The sequence below is a fragment of the Homo sapiens genome, chromosome 2 (assembly GCF_000001405.40).
Source record: "Homo sapiens chromosome 2, GRCh38.p14 Primary Assembly".
NCBI lineage: Eukaryota > Metazoa > Chordata > Mammalia > Primates > Hominidae > Homo > Homo sapiens.
The window spans coordinates 154,467,681-154,489,974 of NC_000002.12; the positions used below are offsets into that span (position 1 = coordinate 154,467,681).

The following is a 22,294-nucleotide window of genomic DNA, read 5'->3' on the forward strand; positions in this document are numbered from 1 at the left end:
CCTTCATGCACACTGATCCTTTACAGTTTGGACTCCTCCAGTCTCCTATTCCCCAAAACTCCATCTTTTCTCAACGCCCATTTCTTTTTCCCTAGTAATGTTTGAATATTTAATAGCTCCAAAATTTTATATTCAGCTTCTTTTCATATCAGCTTAAGAAGTCTCTACTTGTAAAGTATTGTAAACTTTTTATATGACAACACCTTGGAGTGACTAGGAGTGTAAAAAAAAAGCGAGGAAAAATCCTAAGTTTTAGTTAGCTGAATTATCTTATATAAATATGACATTTTTAACAGAATTCGCCCATGTGAACCTAGATTAGACAGACTAAATCAGTTTTTTACTTGAATCATAGGAAAAACCTCATTTTTCACCTAGGAAGTGAGAATGTGAGTTATAGGAGATCCCCGGAGACTCAGTTGGATCAAAATTCAATTCTGTTTTTAAATAGATTTGAAAAGTGTGGATCACTGTTTTCAGCAGCATCCCACGTAATCATAAAAATTTCATGCTGGCATCTCACAAATCAATGGTGTTTTTCAAGACTTTCTTTTTTTTGTACATTTGTTTGAGCGGCTAGAAGGATTAATTTGTTCTCATCAGGGTACAGACCACACAATACTGCAGAATGAACATTCTAATACAGTTGTCTATTTAATGATTGCTTCTTTCTTGTGTAATGTGTATTATAATTTTGAAATATATCTGAGATGTTTGATTTTTATTGTATGTTAATTTACATTTCACATGCATTCATCTAAGAATCTGTGAAGAAAAGGGGCTCATCTCAAGGAAAGAACGTAATATTTCATTATTTAAACTGTATCTGAATCACAAAAGCAAAAATAGAATATTTAAAATGCATATTTTTACCCTGAAGATACAAAAAATAAAAATAAAAAGGAGCAATTTATGAACAAGTCTACTTATTACAGCATTATTTGTATAATAAATAATTTTGTAACGCAAAATTGCTTTGTATAATAATTCAAATGACCTTCATTAAAGAGCAGGTTGATTGAGCTATGATATAATCCCACAATAGAATAATATCCAGCTGTAAAAATAATGAGAAAGATATGTCATTATATGACTCTATAGTAATCTCCAAGACATATTACTAGGTAAAAACATCAAGTAGCAGAATGGCAGATTGCATTTTCCAAGAGTTGTGTAACTTTTTTTCATCCAACATTCCACATGTTCTTCAGAACCCAGTTACTTCCCCTTCAATAAGTGGAGTATATGACCCCTCCCTTTGAAACTTGGGAGACTTTTTGACTGTTTCAACTAATACACTGGTGATAAATGCTACTTTCAAGGCTAGATTATAAATAGTGATTGAGCTTCTGCCAGCCACCATGTCAATTATTTTAGATCACATTCATCATGTGAAGAGCGCACTTTATTTTCACTGGAATAGACACTAATTCTGTATGTGGAATTGCTTTTTCACAATTCTTCCAATATCACCATCCTTGCATTTACAACATGCTTTATTCTCCTTCGCAATGTCTCACATGGCATCACTTCTGACAAAGCAACTCACTTTGTAGAAAATGTTGCAGTGGGTTCAGGTTTATGACATTCATTGGTCTTACCATGTTCCTTATTACCCTGATGTATCTGGCCTGTGGGAAGAGCAAATTAGTCTTTTGAAGACTCAGTTATGGAGCCAGTTGGTTGGCCACACCTTGTGGGTGGGGTGTATATTCTTCAGGATGCAGTATATACTCTGAATGAGTGACTATGGGTACTGTTTCTCCCGTATTCAGGACTTATGAATCTGAGAATCAAGGACTGGAAATGATAGTGGCCAATCTCCCTATAACCCCACCGATGTGTAGTTGCTTCCTCTGTCTGTAACACTAGCTTCTGCTGGTATAGAGGTCTTAGATTACAAAGGGAGAAATGCATCTTCTGGGACATACAGTAATAAATCAAACAGAAAGCGACAGGCAAAAATGAGATTTATTGTATTTGCTAGATTGATCTCGAATATCAATGAAAAATTGAGTGAATATCAATGAAAAATTGGGTTACTACTACACATTGGGGATAAGGAAGAGTATTCCTGAATTCAGGAAATTTCATAGGGTATTGCTTAGAACTCCCATGTCCAGTCGTTAAAGTCAGTGGAAACTAGAATGACTCAATAGAGGCCGCAGTTCTAATGACTACACCTTCAAAAATAAAGATTTAGGTCACCCTACAAAGCAAGGAAGCATCACCCATCAAGGTGCTTACCCAGGTCATAGGGGATATAAAAGGTATATTGGAAAATGGTCATTATAAGTATCAGCTATGACAATTTTTCAAGTTGCAGAAAGGAAATGATAATCATTAATATTTCTTCCTTATTTTGATATGAATATAAATACATACATGTGTGTATACACATATGTAACTCATTTTCTTTCTTTCTTATACATGTCATTTTTTTTCATTCTCCCTCCCGTACCTCTACCATCTAACATGTTTTCATAGTAGCAAGCATTATATCTAAGCATTTGAGAAAGCATGGTTCAGTAAGAAGAGGAATAAATATCAGCCAAAAAAGACTCTGAATCCTCTTTTGGGAAAGGGGAGTGAGTTTTGGTTATACAGAGTATGGTTGAATCCTATTAGGTAGACTCATGATTTTGCCATTGCATTTATTTGGGAGTTTAGTATAATTAAAAGAGGGATATATATTGGACGATGACTTCACAAAAGATAGACTGTGGTGGCTTTGTAAACTGTCAGGTTAGTTGGATCTAAGTTTCTCAGTATTCTCTTCCATGTTCAGTTCTAAGTTAAGATTTGCCACAAGTGAAATTTGCATGGAATTTAAAGTCTAACTGGAATCCAGCAGCCAGAATTACACTCAGACCTGTGTGGGGTCACGCACTGTTGCTGCTCACACAGTTTATGACATTGTGGTGGATCTGCATAGTGCAGCAGCTTGGTTGGCAGCTTCTCAAACTGCCCCTGGATCTCCTCCTTCAGTTTTTCTGAAAGCTGCTCATGTCAGGGGCTGATGTTTTGGCAATTTGTTCAAGCTCTTTTGCAGAACATCATCAAAGTTGGAGGCTTGGAGGTGCTGAGATACCACTGCCAGTTCAGCTGAGAAACAGATATGGATGCCAAGTTTACCTTCACAGGTTCCACTTTGGTCCTGCCCTCCTCATTCCTTCCTAGTCTTACAGACTTCAAGCCCAGCTCCAGTTCTAGGGGTAGCAGGCTCACATAGCTTAACTGGCTCTCTCAATTGTGTAAGGGGTATTCCAGCAATAAATTCTTAACATTGCTTGTAGTGGTTCAGCTTCTCTGATCAAATTCTAAAAGATTCAAGAAGAATTTTTATTGTATGCTGTTTTAAAAAGAAAAAGTGAAAGATAATCTAAAAGTTAGTGAAAATAGTTACTCTGTAGACAGAGAATAATAAGAAAGAGAAAATGCAGACTTTGAAACTCTGAAAGTATTTTAGTTCATAGTTTTGACTTTCAAATCACGTAAATATGTTTCATGAATTAATAACCCAAATTAAAAGCAAAAAAGCCAAAGTATTCTGTTATAATGGAACAGTATATAAAAAGTGTGTGTATGTATATACATATAAAAACACATGTATATATACACACATATATAGTATATTCAAAGAATATAGTATAAATTCATATCTAAGCAGTTTCTATAGTATATAAAATATGCAAAATTTGCCAGGCGTGGTGGCTAATGCATGTAATCCTAGCACTTTGGGAAGCCAAGGCAGGCGGATTACCTGAGGTCGGGAGTTCAAGACCAGCCTGACCAACATGGAGAAACCCTATCTCTACTAAAAATACAAAATTAGCCAGGTGTGGTGGCACATACCTGTAATCCCAGCTACTCAGGAGGCTGAGGCAGGGGAATCACTTGAGCCCAGGGGGTGGAGGTTGCGGTGACCCGTGATTGTGCCATTGTACTCTAGCCTGGGAAACAAGAGCGAAACTCTGTCTCAAAAAATAAATAAATAAATAAATAAATAAATAAATAAATAAATAAATAAAATATGTAAAATTGATGAAATAAACAGACATAGAACTGTTCTTTCAAATGACCTTAAAAAACACAATGCTTTGATTCAAAAGGTGGACGTACATATTCCTCAGTTTGGGATATTAAAAAAAATTTGGAAGTACATATTCTGAAATATAAAAAAGAAAAATCAGATCTGTTTTTATTTTAATTAAAATGTAAATAATTTTATTTTGAAACTATATAATACACATATATAAACTTATGCAAAGGTGAAATGTGGCTTTCTATCTTGATCAAGATTTTCATGTAATATTAAAGGATAATGAAAGATTTTTGTTTGCCTCTTGAATAAACTCATGAAATAGAAGGAAAAGACAAGAGATAGATTGTTTGGAAAGCTAAGTCTTCCGTCTATCAATGAGTAAATGTTTTTGCCTGTGTAAAACTTTTGAGTTATCATTTTGGCTAAATGAATGACTTATTGTGACGTGGAATTCTATTTTATAATGTCAAGTGTTTTAAACCTTTAACGTATTTGATAGGCTTCCCAAAATCAAATTTCAACTTTAAAGTGGTCTTTTCTGACCTCTAACTTTGGTACAATACAGAGGGCCCCTGAAGCATCCAAAAGAGAGATAAACAGGATTATTTGGCATGTTAAGTTACATGGAAGCATTGTCAAAATAAAAAATAATGCTTAATCTTCTTCAGGTTATATTTTAGTCAATGATATTAATATATGTTCCAAAATTGTATGGAATTTCTAATAATAAAACCTTATAGACAAATCAATTTAATATTAATCAGTTTGGCCATAGGTGAGAGTCTCACAAACCCTTTATAATCCTTTACAGATCTTTGTTTAAGAGCGGATCAGTGCTCTAAGAAAACCCTGTTATGCTGTTATTCCAACATTCAATTCCTGGGAAAACTTAACAATACCCTTTAAATTTAGCCAATATGTTCACACACAGAATTTTTTTACAAGATTATTTTTTCAAAAATCTTCCTCAACTTGCTTAAACCTTCAGCTTTATCCTAATTTAAAACAATCCTTTAACCCTCTAAACTAGGCAAAAATGTATATTCCCGTGCCTTATAGTCTTTCACTAAAAGCACATTTTGCTTTCCTCACACACCTTGCATGTAAAACTGTTTTTTTCGGTGGTCTCAATTATATGTTACAATGTTAACTCTTAGCAATTTTTATTTTTGGTGAAAAACCTAGTAAGTGATTTTAATTATCTATTAGGTGTGGAGCCTAAGACACCAGACAAAAGTGCAGATAAAGTCTGACTCTTTCCAGCATAACCAAGGGGATTGGCTAACTCTACATGTCTCTAGGCCTTACCTAGAATCTAATAGCTCCAAAGCAGTTAAGTTGAAAATTTTTCCAAAGTCAAAGAAGCAGCTTATTACCTTAAAGCATTTAGTAAACCTAATATTTGACCTGCCTAATTTAGACCAAGTGTCTTTATTTTACCAATAATCTTTAAAATTCTTTATTTCTCAAAGCTTACTAAAGTCACGTGAACTAAAAGGCATTACAGTTTTTATTTTTCTGACAATATATTTAAGTGCTTATTACTTTCAAGCCAATTAATAAGAGCTCTTTCATATCTAAACTTTATACATATAACACATATGAATACACAGAAAGACAAAAGGAGATCCAATAGTTGTAAGATTTTTTATTGGTCAGTTTTTAAATTTCTTAATCCAGTTACTGGCTTCAGGGTAGTCTTCAGAGGAACAGGGCTAGGAAAACATGCAGTTTCTAGGGCCTAATAAGCAGGCACAGCTGTAAGGCAAAACTGTACCCTTGAAATTCAGGGTAGCATTTTTATACTGGATCCTGGCCCCAAAAGAGAAAGGCTATGGAACAAGACAGTGCAATGATTTCACCCTGCATTTCATTGCAAAGCAACTCAAAGCTGATCAGCCCATTCTGTGATTAACCCATCCCCACAGAAGTCTTATCACAGTGAGGGGTGGAGACATTTCCATATTTTCTAGGTGACCAAGAGCATGCTTCTCTGATCGAAACGTGCAAAGAAATGAGTATTTCCCCATAACTGCCATTTGTCATCCCTAAATGTGTATTTGCCTTAGATTTCGAGAGGGATCTATCTGCTTTCAATTCCTTGGGTTTCACAAGGAAAACAGAAGTTTTTCCCAAAACAGGCTCTATGGCGTTTCCTCTGTTTTTCCCAAGGAATCCAGGCTGTTAAAACTTGAAAGTTCACTTTTAATTAAGCTGGCTTTTAACCATAACACTCTTTAAAAAATATTTTAAATCTCTAATTATCCAACTTTAGCCAGGCCAAATGGCTAATATTTCTGGCTGTTGAACTTTACTAAAGGTAACCTCCCAGATGCTCAAAAGAAAGGAAAATTCAAGAAGGGAAGCCAGAAGTTGTATATGGAGGGGAAGAGTATCAAGAAATGGAAAAAGTCACACAGATATCACCCAGAAAGCACTTATACCCTAAGCCAAGATTGAACCTGGGCTGCCATTGTAAAATGGCAAAGCCTTAGCTTCTGAGATGAAGCATGGGGTGGTTTCCATTGCTCTTCCCATAAGGAGCATAGAGCAGTCAATTTTGAGCTTGCAATGGCTTTTAACTGATCTAGATAATTTTTAGAGCTATCTATGGCATGAGCCCCCAAATTCCTGTTTCCTGGATGTTAGAGACCAAGAGAAATTACCGTCACGTGGTTACAAGGTCAAGCCCCCAAAGACATAAAACAAAACAGGATGGAAACCTCATCCAGTTTTGTTTGTCTGTTTTGTTACCGGCCAGCTTGCTGAGCTGTCTTGAGCAGCCAGATTATGGAGCCTAGGCCTGCATTCCACCCTGTGGTACACCTTTTCATGACAGAAGGATGTAGAAAGACCAGGTCATAGCGTAAAGTACACCAGATTTGCTACAGCTTCAGACTAGCCTCACAAATCCTTTTTCTCATTAATTAAAACTTTGTAAGAGATAGTAATTTTTACTAGTCCTACAATCACTTTGCACAGAGGAAAGGGAAGGGAGAAAAGCATTGCCTGCAGCAGGCTGGGGAAGAGGAAGAGCTCAGGGAGGCCAGAGAAAGACCCACCCTTTGCAACAACACGGAATCAGAAGTTCAGGCAGCCGCTTGTCAGTTGCAAAGGGATCTTTTCCAGGAGTCCCATTGGCTCTCAAGTTTCTCCCTTTGAGGAGAAAAAACTCCTCATGTCCTGTGATCCCATGCATACCTAATCCTGTCACCCACAACCATCAGCAAAGAGTGCAAGGCAGATTAATCCAAAGAGAATAGCAGTTAACATGCCATAGTGCCAAATCAATTTTTAACCAAGAGGGACTTTTCTCGGGGAAGGGTATCTAACCCAATCCCATCCTTTACCCAGGTAAAATGTACCCCATTAGTTATTCAAAGTCAGCCAATTGGTGCTGCCGTCTATATCCTTGAATCAGGATAGTAACTAAGCTAAAAGGTTAGCAGATTTAATGTTTTTAATCAATTAGTCATTTATGCTTTTTATTTGCGTTTTGTAAAGTCTTTAAATAAAAATATTGAAATTTTCTTAGATGTTTCTGCATATCAATAGGCATCCCTAGATGAGACTAATTTGGGAGCCCTCATTTTTAAATGCATGTCTGTGCAGTGTTGTTCATTTGGAACATTCCACTGTAAGTTATCTTTAGTAAGATTTCACCATTTCTGTAAGAGTTTGCTGCTTAGTTCTTCAGAAATTAAGGACCTCATTTTTAGCTCAAATATTGGCTTTACTCTCAAGTTTCCTGGATCAACTTAGCCAGTGATTTTTTCCTATCTAAGTACATAAGACAAGTGAAACAAATGAATAGGACACAAAAATTCCGGTGAATTCCCAAAAGCCAAAATTTATACCCCCTGCAATATTGGCATTTATTATCAGTTTTTTTCTAACCCAGACAGATGTAAGAGGCCTCTAGTTGGATCCAAGCCAGTTAATTACTGGATCCAATCCAATCCTGGACCCACTCTAGTTTCTGTCATGACTCCTAAACCCAGTTTGAATCAGAAATTTGCTCAAAGAAACTCAGAGGTCTCAAAACACAAATCCGTGGAGCTTCAGAATATGAGAGAGAACTTACCACGATCCCCAGCTGCTCCAAGAGAGCAATGGGCACAATGGGCCGAGTGGGAACCACGCTCAGCGCTCCTGGGGGTTGTTAGCTCTTCTTTGGATTCCACTTCTGACACCATCTGACAAAAGAAAAACTTCAGCTGAATTAAAATTAAAGGAGTTCACTTGAGCATGGACAATTCATAAATTGGGCAGCCTCCTGAGCCAAAACAGGCTCTGAGACCCCAGCACAGCCACGTGATGAAAAAAGATTTATGGACAGAAAAGGAAAGTAACATAAAGAAAATAGAAGTGAGGTAGAGAAACAGCCGGATTAGTTACAGCTATGTGTTTGCCTTATTTGAACACGGTTCAAACAGTTGGCTGCCTTTGATTAACCAAAACTTGGTTATTTGCACAAGTGTAGCTTATGGTCTGTTTACACCTCCACCTGTTATAGTTTACAATGTACAGAGAAATTTTAGGCAGAACTTAAAATATGTAAGGAGGCAGATTTAGGCTAAACTTGATTTAACAAGTCCTAGAAGCAAGGAGCAGCCCTTATGCCCAGACTGTCATCTCTAAATGTAACCTTTCAGTGTAAAGAACCAGGACTCCTTGGACAAATGGCTAATCCAGAGTCTGGAGTAGAAAATGTGCAAGATGAAATATCCTGTTGTATTTGAAAGCAAGAAATCCATCTAAAAAAAGGGGGCACTACAAGCCACTGATCAAATACGGGAGAGCTTGAGAATCACCAGTAATAATGACTGCCATGGACTGAAACCATAAACTATGTTAACATCTATGGGTGCCTAAAACACAAGGAAAATAAAACAGACAAACAAAACAGAGCACAAATTATAGGTCTCCTTAGGGGTTTACTAAGGTACAAACTAATTATTTTAAAAATCAAAAAATAAAAAAAATGAGAAAGAACCAAGCATTTATTTAGCCTTTCTTCAATCAAGTTTCAGAGTCACAAAACTGTTGATGAAGAAAGATCTTCATGGAAGAATCAAATCAAAGCAAGTAAATGCAGGAGAATGCTAAAACTAGAAGGCCACTTTTTTGCAATATCTAATTGATATAGTTTGGATTTGTGTCCCCACCCAAATTTCATGTTTAATTATAACCCTCATATGTCTGGGGAGGAGACTAGTGGGAGGTGATTGGATCATGGGGGCAGATTTCCCCTTGCTGTTTTAGTGATAGTGAGTTCTAATGAGATCTAATGGTTTAAAACTGTGGCACTTTCCCCTTTGCTGTTTCTCTCTCTCACCTGCTCTACCATGGTGAAATGTGCCTTGCTTCACCTTCATCTTCTGCCATGATTATATAAGTTTCCTGAGGCCTCCCCAGTCATGTGGAACTGTGAGTCAATTAAATTTCTGTTCTTTATAAATTATCCAGTCTCAGATAGTTCTTAACAGCAGTGTGAGAACAGACTAATACAGAAAATTGGTACTGGGAGTGGGGCACTGCTATAAAGATACCTGAAAATGTGAAAGAAACTTTGGAACTGGGTAACAGGCAGTGATTGGGACAGTTTGGAGGGCTGAGAAGAAGACAGAAAGATGAGTGAAAGTTTGGAACTTCCTAGAGACTTGTTGAATGACCAAATTGCTGATAGTGATATGGATAGTGAAGTCCAGGCTGAGGTGGTCTCAGATGGAGATGACGAACTTATTGGGAACTAGAGTAAAGGTCACTCCCTCTATGCTTTAGCAAAGAGACTGGCAGCATTTTTCCCCTGACGTAGAGATCGGTGGAACTTTGTACTTGAGATAAATGATTTAGGGTATCTGGCGAAAGACATTTCTAAACAGCAAAGAACTCAAGAAGTGACCTGGCTGTTTCTAAAATTGTATGCTTATATGTATGAACAAAGAGATTATGTGAAACTGGAACTTATATTTAAAAGGGAAGCGGAGCATAAAAGTTTGGAAAATTTGCAGCTCAGCTATGTGGTGGAAAAGAAAAGCCAATTTTCTAGGTAGAAATTCAATCCAGCTACAGAAACTTGCATAAGTAATGAGCAGCTGAAGGTCAATAGCCAAAACAATGGGGAAAATATCTCCAGGGTATTTCAGAGATTTTCACCCATTATAGTCCGAGATACCTAGGAGAATAAAAGTGGTTTTGTGTACTGGGTCTCAGGGCCCTCTGCTGTATGCAGCCTCAGGACATGGCACCTGCATCCCAGCCACTTCAGCTCTAGCCATGGCTAAAAGGGGCAAAGATACAGCTCAGACCATGGCTTCAGAGGGAGCAAGCCCCAAGCCTTGGCAGCTTCCATGTGGTGTTGGAGCTTCAGGTTTGCAGAAAGCAAGAACTGAGTTTTGGGAACCTCTGGCTAGATTTCAGAGGATGTATGGAAATGCCTGTATGTCCAGGCATTTCCTCTGCTGCATGGGCGGAGCCCTCATGGAGAACCTCTAATAGGGAAAAGCAGAAGGGAAATGTGGGATTGGAGCCCACACACAGAGTCCACAGAGTCCTCACTGGGACACTGCCTGGTGAAGCTGTGAGAAGAGAGCCACCGTCCTCCAAACCCCAGAAGGGTAGATCTACTGACAGCTTGCACCTGCCTAAGAACTTGAGAGTCTACCCTTTATATCAGCGTGGCCTGGATGTGAGATGTGGAGTCAAAGGAGATTTTGCAGCTTTAAGATTTAATGTCTGGCCTGCCTGGTTTTGTACTTCCATGGAGCCTGTAGCCCCTTTGTTTTGGCCAATTTCTCCCTTTTGGAATGGGAGCATTTATTTAATGCCTGTTTCCCCAAGTTAGTTACCTCTAAGTATCTAAGTTGTTTTTGACTTTATAGCCTCATAGGCAGAGGGACTTGCCTTGTCTCAGATGAGCCTTTGGACTTGGACTTTTGAGTTAATGCTAGAATGAGTTAAGACTTTGGGGGACTGTTGGGAAGGCATGATTGGTTTTGAAATGTGAGGAGGACATGAGATTTTCGAGGGGCCCAGGCTAGAATGATATGGTTTGGATTTGAGTCCCCACCCAAATCTCATGTCAAATTGTGATCCCCACATATCAGGGGAGGGGACTGGTAGGAAGTGATTGAACCATGGGGACAGATTTCCCCCTTATTCTCACGACAGATGAATTAGTTCTCACGAGATCTGATCGTTTAACAGCTTGGCACTTCCTCCTTCTCTCTCTCTCTCTCTCTCTCTCTCTCTCTCTCTCCTGCTTTGCCATTGTGAAGATGTGCATGCTCCCACTTCACCATCTGCTGTGACTGTAAGTATCCTGAGGCCTCCAGTCATGCTTCCTATTAAGCCTGTGGAACTGTGAGTCAATTAATTCTCTTTATTTTTTTTTAAAGTAAATCACTCAGTCTACAGTAGTTCTTTATAACAGTGTCAGAATGGACTAATACACGAATCAAATAATGTCTCTAGACAATTACATCAACAAATGCTAAATCCTTTAGGTGAATATTTGAAATGCTAAATCCCTTAGGTGAATATTTGAAACTCTGTAAGAGTTGAATGACATTAAAGATTTCTATTACTGTTACTATTGATGAATCTTTATAATTCTAAAGTTAAACAATCAGATACAATGTATCTCTTTGTAGAATGCAGCGAGATGCTTAATTGAATGTTCGTTAGCTACCTATTTACAGAAAATTCAGAAACACAATAAGAGAGAGAAACATGTTAAACAATACCAAAGGGACATAACCTATCCAATTCAGAATGTGTTGAAATTTTTACAGGACAAATGGCCCACTTTTGTAAACATATAAATAGGAGAGAGTGTATGAGTGAGAGAGAATGAGAATGAACAATTATATCATTAAAAGTGATATAAGAGACATATCAGCCAAATGCCATATGTGGGTAGACCTTGTTTGGACCACAGTCTTGATAAACCAACTGTAAAAAGATGTATCAGATATTGCTATAAAATTTTTCTTAATTATATTGTCATAATATATATAAAATTTCCTTATCTGTTATATATATTACTTGAAGTATTTATAGGGAAAGCTATGTGATATCTAGAATTTGCTTTAAAATACTCCAGAAAAACATAATGTATTATGAGGATTGATAAAACATTTAGGACAGAAAGTTGATCATTATTGAAACTTGGTTAAGGGCACATGGGAGTTTATTTGATTAGTCTCTCTACTTCTACATATATTTGCAAATGTCCATAATAAAAAGCTGTGCATTTGTAAAAAAAAAAAAAAAGAAAGAAACACACACACACCACACACACACACACACAATGGTATATTTCAGTTTCTAAAAAAATCGATATAAAATTATTGCTGAAGAAATAATTCTTTTAGGAGCTATCTAATTAAAGGCTTTCGGAAAACCTGAAAATTGCATGGTTCCTTATTTCTCTTTCTTTATTATCATATCATAAAAATGGTATGTATGTCACTCTATAGTGAAAGTTTGGAATAAGGAGGATGTTGCACTTGAAATGAGAATAGAACTCAGCAATAATATTTCTAATATGTGTCCAATGTACAGTTACTTTAAAGGAGGGCAAAACATTCTTCTAGTTCAAGATATTGTTTCTAAAATTCATATTTTATAACAAACTATAAAATGAAAGACTTTTGCTTTATCTTACTTTTCAAATATCTTTTAAAAACTTACTCGTGAACACTCCTTATTTTTCAGGTATAACGCTACAGTTAATTTTGTTTTCTGTTTTGGCAAAAAAATCAGATTTTGACTATTTCCCCTTTTTTGGTAATTTCTTTTAGCAATTAATTTCTGAGGATCTGTGTCTTCTTAATGAGTACATTTTATCTCATGAGTTTGAAACTGCCTTTGCAAAAGCTGTATCAGTGAGAAAACTATAACAGTAAACTAAGCTAACCCAACCCCCATCTTGCCTTTTCCTTAATTATTCCCGGGCTATTGGGCCAAGCCAACTTTGGCAGACATTTAAGCTACAATTTAAATGATAGTAGGCTTTGCCAACAACTCAGCCACTTTTGTAAAACCAATAGGAGGCCACCAGGCTGAAGGGAGGAGAGGAGCCTTAGTCCTGATAAGGTCAGCTATTATTTTAGAGGTTATAAAATATGCAACTTCCTCAATTACTCCTGCAAATAGCACCACTATTGTAGATTGGCCTTTTGAGATATCTTTTCAGGTTTTTTGTATGTCTGACTCCCAGGGCTCCACCTGGACCCACAACACCCCCCGCCAAACCCCCACTCCTGTGGCCCCACCTAGAAGCAATTCCACTTGCAGGAGAACAGTTTCAACCCCCTGTGATTTCATCTCTGCCCCAACATATCAGCAGCAAGCACCTGTTACCTGGCCACTCGCACCCTTCCCCACAAACTGCCCTTGAAAAACCTCTAACCCAGGAGCTTTGAAGGTGATGATTTGAGTACAAACTCCTTCTCTTACATGTGGCATGGCCATCCTCGTCTATTAAACTCTTTCTCTACTACAGTGCCATGGTCTTTCTTTATGCAGAAGTAGGAATAACCTCTCAGGTGGTTACAAGCTTAGAATACTTGGAATATTCTATAACGATTTCAAGATTGATTGAATTTGGGAAACTCTTCCTAAAATTCCAAGTTGCCACTTTATATGTGACAGGTAATGGGAGACCAGATCAAACTTCCTAACAGAGCCAACTGCAAACCCATTTTTCTAAAAAAAGACTGTATCCTAATGATTTATTTTTAAGTACAGGATTCGTGCCTTGCTAATTGCTCTTTTTGTTCTCCAACCAACCTGAAAACATTGTACTTAATGGGTGGGCAATTAATGAATGAATAAACTAGTATGGGAAAAATTAGCAATCAGAATGCGTAGTACAGCTCTAAAAGGTTAAGCAACTAACAGTTAAAAGAAAGAAATGCTGAAAAAGTGAAGCACTAATCACTAGAGCCACATCAGGGAATGTTTTCCAAGGCAGTTGCACAAATACAGTATACCCATAGGGGTGGGGCAGTTTTCACCCCGCAAATGTTTGGAAAATACATCCTGTAGGCTTCTGCTTCCTGCTGCAGATCCATAGGGTATATTAATGGCTGGCAAACAATAGCATGCTATGTCTGATTGCTCAAGGCATTATTTTTTTTCTCTAAAGTTTGCATCAAGGAATATTTTTCAAAATGTTTCTAAAGGTCATTTGGAATCTTCTTGAAACTAAGAAAATAATGAGATGCCTGGAAATGCTGAGACACTTGCTTTCTAATTCATAGCTGAAAACACAATAAGCCTTTATGTATATGTCATTTTCAAGACAGCCTTCATTTTCTGCACAGATGCTCACATACCTGAAACTAAGGGTTCAGTATAATCAGGACTGAAATTTTTAGAATATATGGTTCTAAACTCCTATCCTAAAGCATTTTGCATATTTCCAATAATATAACTTCATTCCTGCCACAGGAGATTTCTGATAATTAGAAAACAGTTACTGAAATGCAGAAGATGGCTGGGCTTGGTGGCTTCTGCCTGTACTCCCAACATTTTGGAAGGCTGAGGTGGGAAGACTGCTTGAGGTCACAAAGTCCTCACAAAGGTGCAGCTAACGATTCACCCTATGTTGACTTTAAACATCTCATTCCCAACCGCCCCCCCGCCCCAAGTAAACAGCAATATCGTTTAATGTAAAATTCCCTGCAAGCAATGCTTTTCAATTCTAATGAAATCAGTAAAGATGATGCAGATGATTAAAAGAATGATTTTGCTTCCATTTGTGAAGTATATTTACTTATGAGCAATTAAGTATGTGCTATTTACTGCTTATAAATTAACAGAAAATATTTACTGTGCTAGCTTACAATTATCAAAAAAAACCCCAAAAGTTTGACTTAATAAATTTGACCCTGTTAAAAATTGTGTCAAAGTATTCCATTCTGAGGAAAGTGTGAGAGGGAAGACATAAAAGCAACTTTAGAGCTGAGATGAACCACTGAGCTAATTTCATCTACCCTCTTACTTTTTTACAAGAGGAAACAGGAGTTCCAGAGAGGGGAATTTATTTGTTCAAAGCAATTAGTCTCAATATAGGGACTGGAACCCCTTAAATAAGGAAAACAGAAAAACAGTAAGGTTGAGAGAAGGTGGGTGTATTAACATCTCTTAGGGCATATAAATCTGGCTTTCCAACTTGGGTAGAGCAGTAGCCATTCCTCTCCTCTTCAATTTGCATTTCTTCCTTCTCTGTATATTTACTCTTTATGCCATTTCTAAATGCATGGGAAATGCAAGAGGTGAAAAAGGATTGAGGCAGGGGCACTTAGATCCAAGGGGATACAGGGTTATTTGAGCTGATTAATTTAGGTTGGACCTGCTCTGTCAGTATTCACAGTAAACACTAATTCCTCTGTGCAAATAAGAACATAAGATGGGCAAGACATAACGTAGATAACAGCTTCCTATGGATCAGATGCTGTTCCAAAGCCCTTTACATGGATAATTTCATTTAAACTGCTAAACTCTATGAAGCACTTAGCATACATGATAAAAGAAAAGCACATAAAATTTTAATTAAATTACACAAATCACCTACGTAATTAATGATTGAGTCAGAACTTCAACCCAAACCAGGTGATTCTAAAGACAGTACTCTTGGCAATTATTCCATGCCAGATCTAAAAATTATGCCAATTCTATCATTAAATATTGTACTCATAGTATTTCTATTATTTGGGTTAATAATTTCAACCACACGCAGCATGTATTTTAACATAATTCATAAGAAGTAAATGTCACTGATAGGATCTTTAGTTCCTTTGTCTTGGAGGTGGGAGGTGATTCCTGTGGAAATGAAATTCATCAGTCTATTCAACAAATAGTGCCTGTTTTACATATAACACATCAGGCATGGAGATACAATGGGAAGGAAGAGAGATAGACAGAAGACAGAGGGTATGATGAAGAATCAGTGACAATTAAAAATCCAAGATAATTTTACCGATTTATGTTATATTGAGATAATTTTCATAAAGTAGAAGTAGAAGAGATGGTAATGTGAATAAAAAAGAAAACAAGGTAATCTCTAGAAGCTGAATTATGAAGAATAATTTCCAAGTAATATTGAGTGCTGCAAACAGTGAATGTTGAAATCTCCATTCTTCAATATTGATTAGAGTAGAAGGAAGACAAAAACTCTTTTTGAAGGTACAATCTTCAGGGAGATTTCACTGGGACAGTTAGTAAGTAGAAAAAGAACGTCTCTTTCTTTAGCTCTCAAAAGGACATTTTACCCATTTTTATTTCTTACTCTTCCCTGAACTAACAATGAAAAGGTCAAGAAAATTTTTTTAAACCTCTGCTATACACCTATAAGAAGTTTCTACAGCATTTGTTAAGGAATGACAACATGCTTAACAGACAGTATGACCTTCTAGAACATACAGCATGAAATGTGATTTTAAAACTTTTTTTCTCCCAAGATAAATCACAATACTAGAGGGGGAAATGAAACTTCCTATTAACCCTAAACTGGGCAACAGCAGGGAACTTGGCACTGATTTTCATTTACCTTATTCCTCTAACCCAGTGTACTTTTCCTTCATCAAATTGGAAGTAAACATGTTCATGTTCATGTAATCTCCATATAAAGTTGATTGAGAACTTCTGGGCTGTTTTCTAAAAAGATCTGTGTACATGTCCATACTAGCACATTAGATTTAGATAGAAAAAAAACTGCTACATTAATTCTCTTTGTTCTATTCTAGGACAACACATGTAATTATCCTTTAACTAAAGCTTGCTGAGGAGGGTGACTCATATTCAAATATGTCTCTGCTTCCAGAGTGCAGCAGTGAAAAGAGTGATTATCACCTCCAGTCTCTGCCTACTGCTTTAAATCTCAGCTCCCAAAAAGTGGAGGAACTTAAAATTTTCTCTTTCTTTTAGTCCTTTGGGATTAATTCATTGTTAATTTAATCTTTATAAAAGAAACCATCCTTAAGGATATAGAATTGGACTCATTTGCTGTGATTTGATTGGTACTGAATGGCAATTGGGCTTTAATACAAAAAAAAAAAAAAAAAGAAGAAGGAAATTCTAACAGTCTGTGTCATGCACAAGGTTTTCACATTTAACACAGCTCCTGTACATGGCAGGCGCTTCACAAATATTTGTTTAATTAATTGATGAATCCCTTTCGGTCCAATGGTTCAGAAGTACCCTATCAAAGTGCAACTAGAGCAAGTTAAAATCAAGGCCCTTAGTGAACTGATCAGGTTAGGCCTCTATAGGGGCAACGGAAGGTGAGCTGAGCCCTTCAAGGTTATCCACAGGCCAGTGAATTCAGAAGAGAAGATGTCAACGATGAAACACTCTCAAATTAACTGCTTTGCACAGCACCTTGGATAGAAGGCCATAAAACCATAAAATTATGTCTGTGAACCTTATAAATTATAATTATTTTTTGACGATGCTGGTTTTAATATTATATAAACAGGAACTGTGCCAATGATGAAATTACTGCTCTGAGAACAACACTGGCAGTGAGTTATTAGAAATGACAGTTGAGGGCTGGGCGTGGTGGCTCACACCTGTAATCCTATTGCTTTGGGAGGCAGAGGCAGGTGGATCACGAGGTCAGGGGTTTGAGACCAGCCTGGCCAATATGGTGAAACCCCGTCTCTACTAAAAATACAAAAATTAGCTGGGCATGGTGGGCCACTCCTGTAGTCCCAGCAGCTTGGGAGGTGGAAGTTGCAGTGACCCAGGATCATGCCACTGCACTCCAGCCTGGGCAACAGAACGAGACTCTGTCTCAAAAAAAAAAAATAGAAAGAAAGAAATGACAGTTGATGATCTGATTATCTCAGGGACAAAATAGAAAGTTATTGTGTTTAAGGCACTGCAGAGAATACAAAGAAATACAAGGAGACAAGAGGGCTTCTCCCCTGTGTAATGTACATTACCTTATTTAATGCTTGATAACAACACTCAAAATGGGTGCTATTTGCCCTTATATTACAGATGGGCAGATGAGGCTCAGACAGGTTAATTACCTTGTTTGAAGTAACATAAATAGCAAGAAAATGAACTAACAAGCCAGATGCACATTCTTTATTATTCTACTCTGAAAACCCACACTAAGCACCAATACCCTTGTAGATATCTGAGTACAGAGAAAATCCAAGGACTGTGCCATGTATTAGCAGCATCTAGGCACATAATAGGCTTACCTAAGAAGTTAGTGAATGAGGATGAGAAGCACATTTTACAAATTGGTTTTTGAAATACTTTTCACCGGTTTGTGTTACTGAGTTAGTACTATCAGAATACTCCTCCTCCAGTTTTGCCTAAATTAGCTGAATGGTTACTTTCATCTCTAGTTTCATATCACCTGAAACGATTTGGTTCATTATTTTGTCATTATGGAATCTGCATACTTTAGCTACCAAGGAATGAACTGTTTAAGGTCAAATTTAAAAATTATCTTCTTATGCTCTGATATGGTTTGCTATGTTCCCACCGAAATCTCATCTTGAATTATAGCTTCCATAATTCCCACCTGTTGTGGGAGAGACCCAGTGGGAGGTAATTGAATCATGGGGGCGGGTCTTTCCCATGCTGTTCTCGTGATAGAGAACAAGTCTCACAAGATCTGATGGTTTTATAAAGGGGAGTTCCCCTGCACAAACTCTCTTGCCTGCTGCCATGTAAGATAGGACTTTGCTTCTCATTCGCCTTCTGCCATGATTGTGAGGCCTCCCCAGACATGTGGAACTGTGAGTCAATTAAACCTCCTTTCCTTTATAAATTACCCAGTCTCGAGTATGTTTTTCCTAGCAGCCTGATAGCAGACTAACACATGCTCTATCCTTTAAACAATTTTGGGTTTGAATTTGCAGACACAGAAACCAAGTTTTGTTATTTCCAAAGTTACACAAGAGCATGAAATGCAGTCTTTGAAAGACAAAACTAAAAAGAAAATGCATTCTCACTCTCAGAACATTCTCAAGTTTATTAATACTTCCCATAGCAAGCTGAAACTATGATTTCAAATGCCCTTGAGGAAGTTTGTTTAAAAAGCAGGAAAGGGGGTGTGGACTTTGGGCTATTTTTATGCCTCCCTAGAAATTCTCTATGGTTTTCTCACAAAGTGCTGATAACGATGGCACTACTAATTTCTTTCTAGTTTATGAATTTATTCGTCTCTGCAGGATGCTATATTGAATTTTTGGAGAGAAAGTGAAACATGTCTGGGTCTAAGCAAGAAGTGAATATCTGCTTGGAGATTCTGTACAAGATGGTGGGGCTAGAGAAGCAACCTAGAAAGCAGGTGGGTTGACTTGTTACCTGAAGTACTTCATGATTCCTAGCGAGGGGAGGGCATTAACGAATGATACCTGGGAAGTTTGCTACTGAAAATATTTGAGTTTATAAAGAGAGAAAAAGAGTACACTAAGAATTTACCTTCCAACTCAGCATGCTGAATCACCTTTTTAAAAATGCAGCTATCGATAAAGAGTTACATGCTTTGTGCATAGGTAGGAGGAAATTCAGAGCACACACTGAAGGTGAAAATCCCATTCTAACTCTTACTAACTGGACCACCTTGAGAAGTTACTTAGTCTCTTCAGGCCTCAGTGTTTTCCTCTGTAAAATGGAGATCGTAATAATACCTACTGCATAAAATTATTTTGAAGGTTAAATTAGATAAATCATGTTTACTAATAACAAAGTCTGGAATATGAGTGCCCAAAAATGATGACGATTATTACATTCTTGTAGAACTCAAATTGTTTATAATTATACCTATGATCTTATTTTTCCTCAAATTGGTACAAAATAAATAGTAACTTCACTTTCTGATATGGTTGCGGAATAAGATTTCATGAAACCAAGAAGGAAGTACTATATTATTTTTTCAAAAACTGTAAAATTAGAACAGAGCAAATAAGGCTTTCTTGCATTGGTGCATTTAAGGTTGTGTTGTTCTACCCTTAAAAGCTAGAGGAAGGCCATGTGCAGTGGCTCACACCTGTAATCTCAACACTTTGGGAGGCTGAGGCTGGTGGATCACTTGAGCCCAGGAGATTGAGACCTGCCTGGGCAACACTGCGAAACTCCATCTCTACAAAAAATACAAAAGTTAGCCAGGGGTGGTGGCATGTGCCTGTAGTCCCAGCTACTCAGGAGGCTGAGGTGGGAGGATCGCTTGAGCCCAGGAAATAGATGCTACAGTGAGCCGAAAACTTTTTTTCAAGATAAATCACAATACTAGAGGGGAAAATAAAACTTCCTATTAACCCTAAAATGGGAAACAGCAGGGAACTTGGCCCTGATTTTTATTTATATCACTATCACCTGGACGGCTAGTGAAACCTTGTCAAAAAAACAAACAAACAAAAAACAATGGAAGAAGGACTAAATAACCCCCTCTTGTTATATTTGATAGTAATGTTTAGTAAACTGTGAATAAGTGACTTCTCAGGGTCACAGAAACTTAATAACAGGTGAAGACAAAAGCCTCATGTATGTTAAATCCCCAAGGTCAAGTCTGTATTTTTATTTTTACGTTGCTCTTTCTACTTCTTGACAGTTGGCTTTTTAAATACACTAATGAAATTTTGAGGCTAAGAATACTTCAGATTGTACTATATACTTATTGGGAATTATCTGTCACTACACGTAATGGCAACACAGATGATAAATAATAGGGCTCGCGATCTTTGGGGCGCTGCAGGTGTATGAGCCAGACTAGTGCTGTATGCATTGAGTATCAGGCTGAGACTCTAAACCCAACAGACTTCACAACAGGGGGAAAACGTGCATTTAATATAAAAGATAGGACTGTAAGCAAAATTTGTAAGATTGCGTCTGCCACTTTAAAAACATTTTACTTCTCCCTATCCTTGTGATTATGGCCTTGCACCTTTTATGTGATTGTAAAGATCAAACTGGCTGAAAGCTGAGCTGCCTCTCTTGCCATGGATTTTTATTTTCAAATTACAGAGGTTATAATGTGTTATTTAGTCATCTTGGCTTGAGTTAATGTTGAATTAATCTTACCTGGTTAACTCACTTAACGTTTCAGACTTCTCTCTTCCTGTCACCTCTTAGGGATTTCGTGCTTGGTCCCCAGTCAAGGTCGGGTATCTTGCTCTAAGTGCCCCTCTCCATCAGTGAACAAACTCGGATCCTTTTCTTTCAGGGAACTTTTCTTCACTAGTAATTCACATTTGTTACTGTGGTTACTTCATTAATGTTCAACTACCCATTAAACTATAATTTCTGTCAGAGCATTAACTGTGTTCCTTGGCTCACAAATATTTCCCCAGTGCATTATAGTGCTGGGCACCAAGTAGACACCCAGCAAGTATTTGATGAATGAACACTTGCTTTGGATTTGATGGAGACATAACTCCTGGGTTCATCATAAATAATTTACCCATGTTCATTTTGAGAGAAAAGTTTATATGGAAATAGTATTGGTTCTATGTTTTAGTCTTCAGGAAACTTCTCATCAATGAAATGTCTCACCCCTTTCATCTAAAAATAGATCTTTTATTTTGGGTACAGGATGTCACTGAGTTTGTGTTTATAGTGGTACTCAACAAATGGATAAACCAATAAATTGAAGTGACAGACTGGTGATTAGCCACCAGTCGTTTGGTCACGGTTAAAAACTTATGCGATACTAGAAGTTGCCTCATGAGTTTTGTGTGTAAGTGCAGTCCTATTACAGCCTAATGTACTCTGCCCACAGTTCCATGGAGAACATCTTGATGACTCAACCAGACATAGATATCTGAGAAATAGTAGTGCTAGCAGAAAATCAATGATCTATGCACTGCCTATGAAATGTGAGCTCTTAAATATCTTTGTTTTTACTGGTTTATTTTGGTAATTTAATTACTCTTTTATCCCAGAAATCTGCTGACTTGACAGCCCCTCAGAAGTTCCAGGGCACAACTAGGAACTCCCCAGTTGTTTCTAGGCCATTACCAAAGTGATACCTCTTGTGTACCTTCAGCTATTTATGTTGGCTTCTGTACCACTGTAGCTTCTTCCCATTCTGCTCTGACTCCCTGTTGGATTATTTTTCCTGTTGGAGAAATTTCACTATTGTGGTGACCTAAATGAGAATGGCACTACCATGCCAAGGGCTGCCCTCCTCACCTTGCCTTCCCCGCCCACCTTCCCCCACTCTCTCTGCACCAGTAGTCAAAACGCTGGAACAGTGTTGATTTCCATGCAGGA

At 37.5% G+C, this 22,294-nt stretch overlaps 2 long non-coding RNA genes across 4 annotated transcripts in view; one reads left to right on the plus strand and one right to left on the minus strand.

The window, feature by feature from the left end:
- Positions 1–1,953: 1,953 nt before the first annotated feature.
- On the minus strand, positions 1,954–21,218 carry LOC105373694 (uncharacterized). Of its 2 annotated transcripts, XR_923486.4 has the most exons (4): positions 21,104–21,218; positions 8,130–8,241; positions 3,856–3,974; positions 1,954–3,320 (listed from the first exon to the last, which is right to left on the minus strand). It is a non-coding gene; the product is annotated as an uncharacterized LOC105373694 (long non-coding RNA). The 2 variants fall into 2 exon arrangements; XR_923485.4 differs by lacking the exon at positions 1,954–3,320 and having other exon boundaries at positions 3,908–3,953.
- LOC105373693 (uncharacterized) overlaps positions 18,731–22,294 on the plus strand; it is a 106,969-nt gene continuing 103,405 nt past the window's right edge. For both annotated transcript variants that reach the window (XR_001739741.2, XR_923484.3), the window contains exons 1-2: positions 18,731–18,816; positions 19,252–19,370. This is a non-coding gene — a long non-coding RNA (uncharacterized LOC105373693). The remainder of the gene's footprint in view (positions 18,817–19,251; positions 19,371–22,294) is intronic.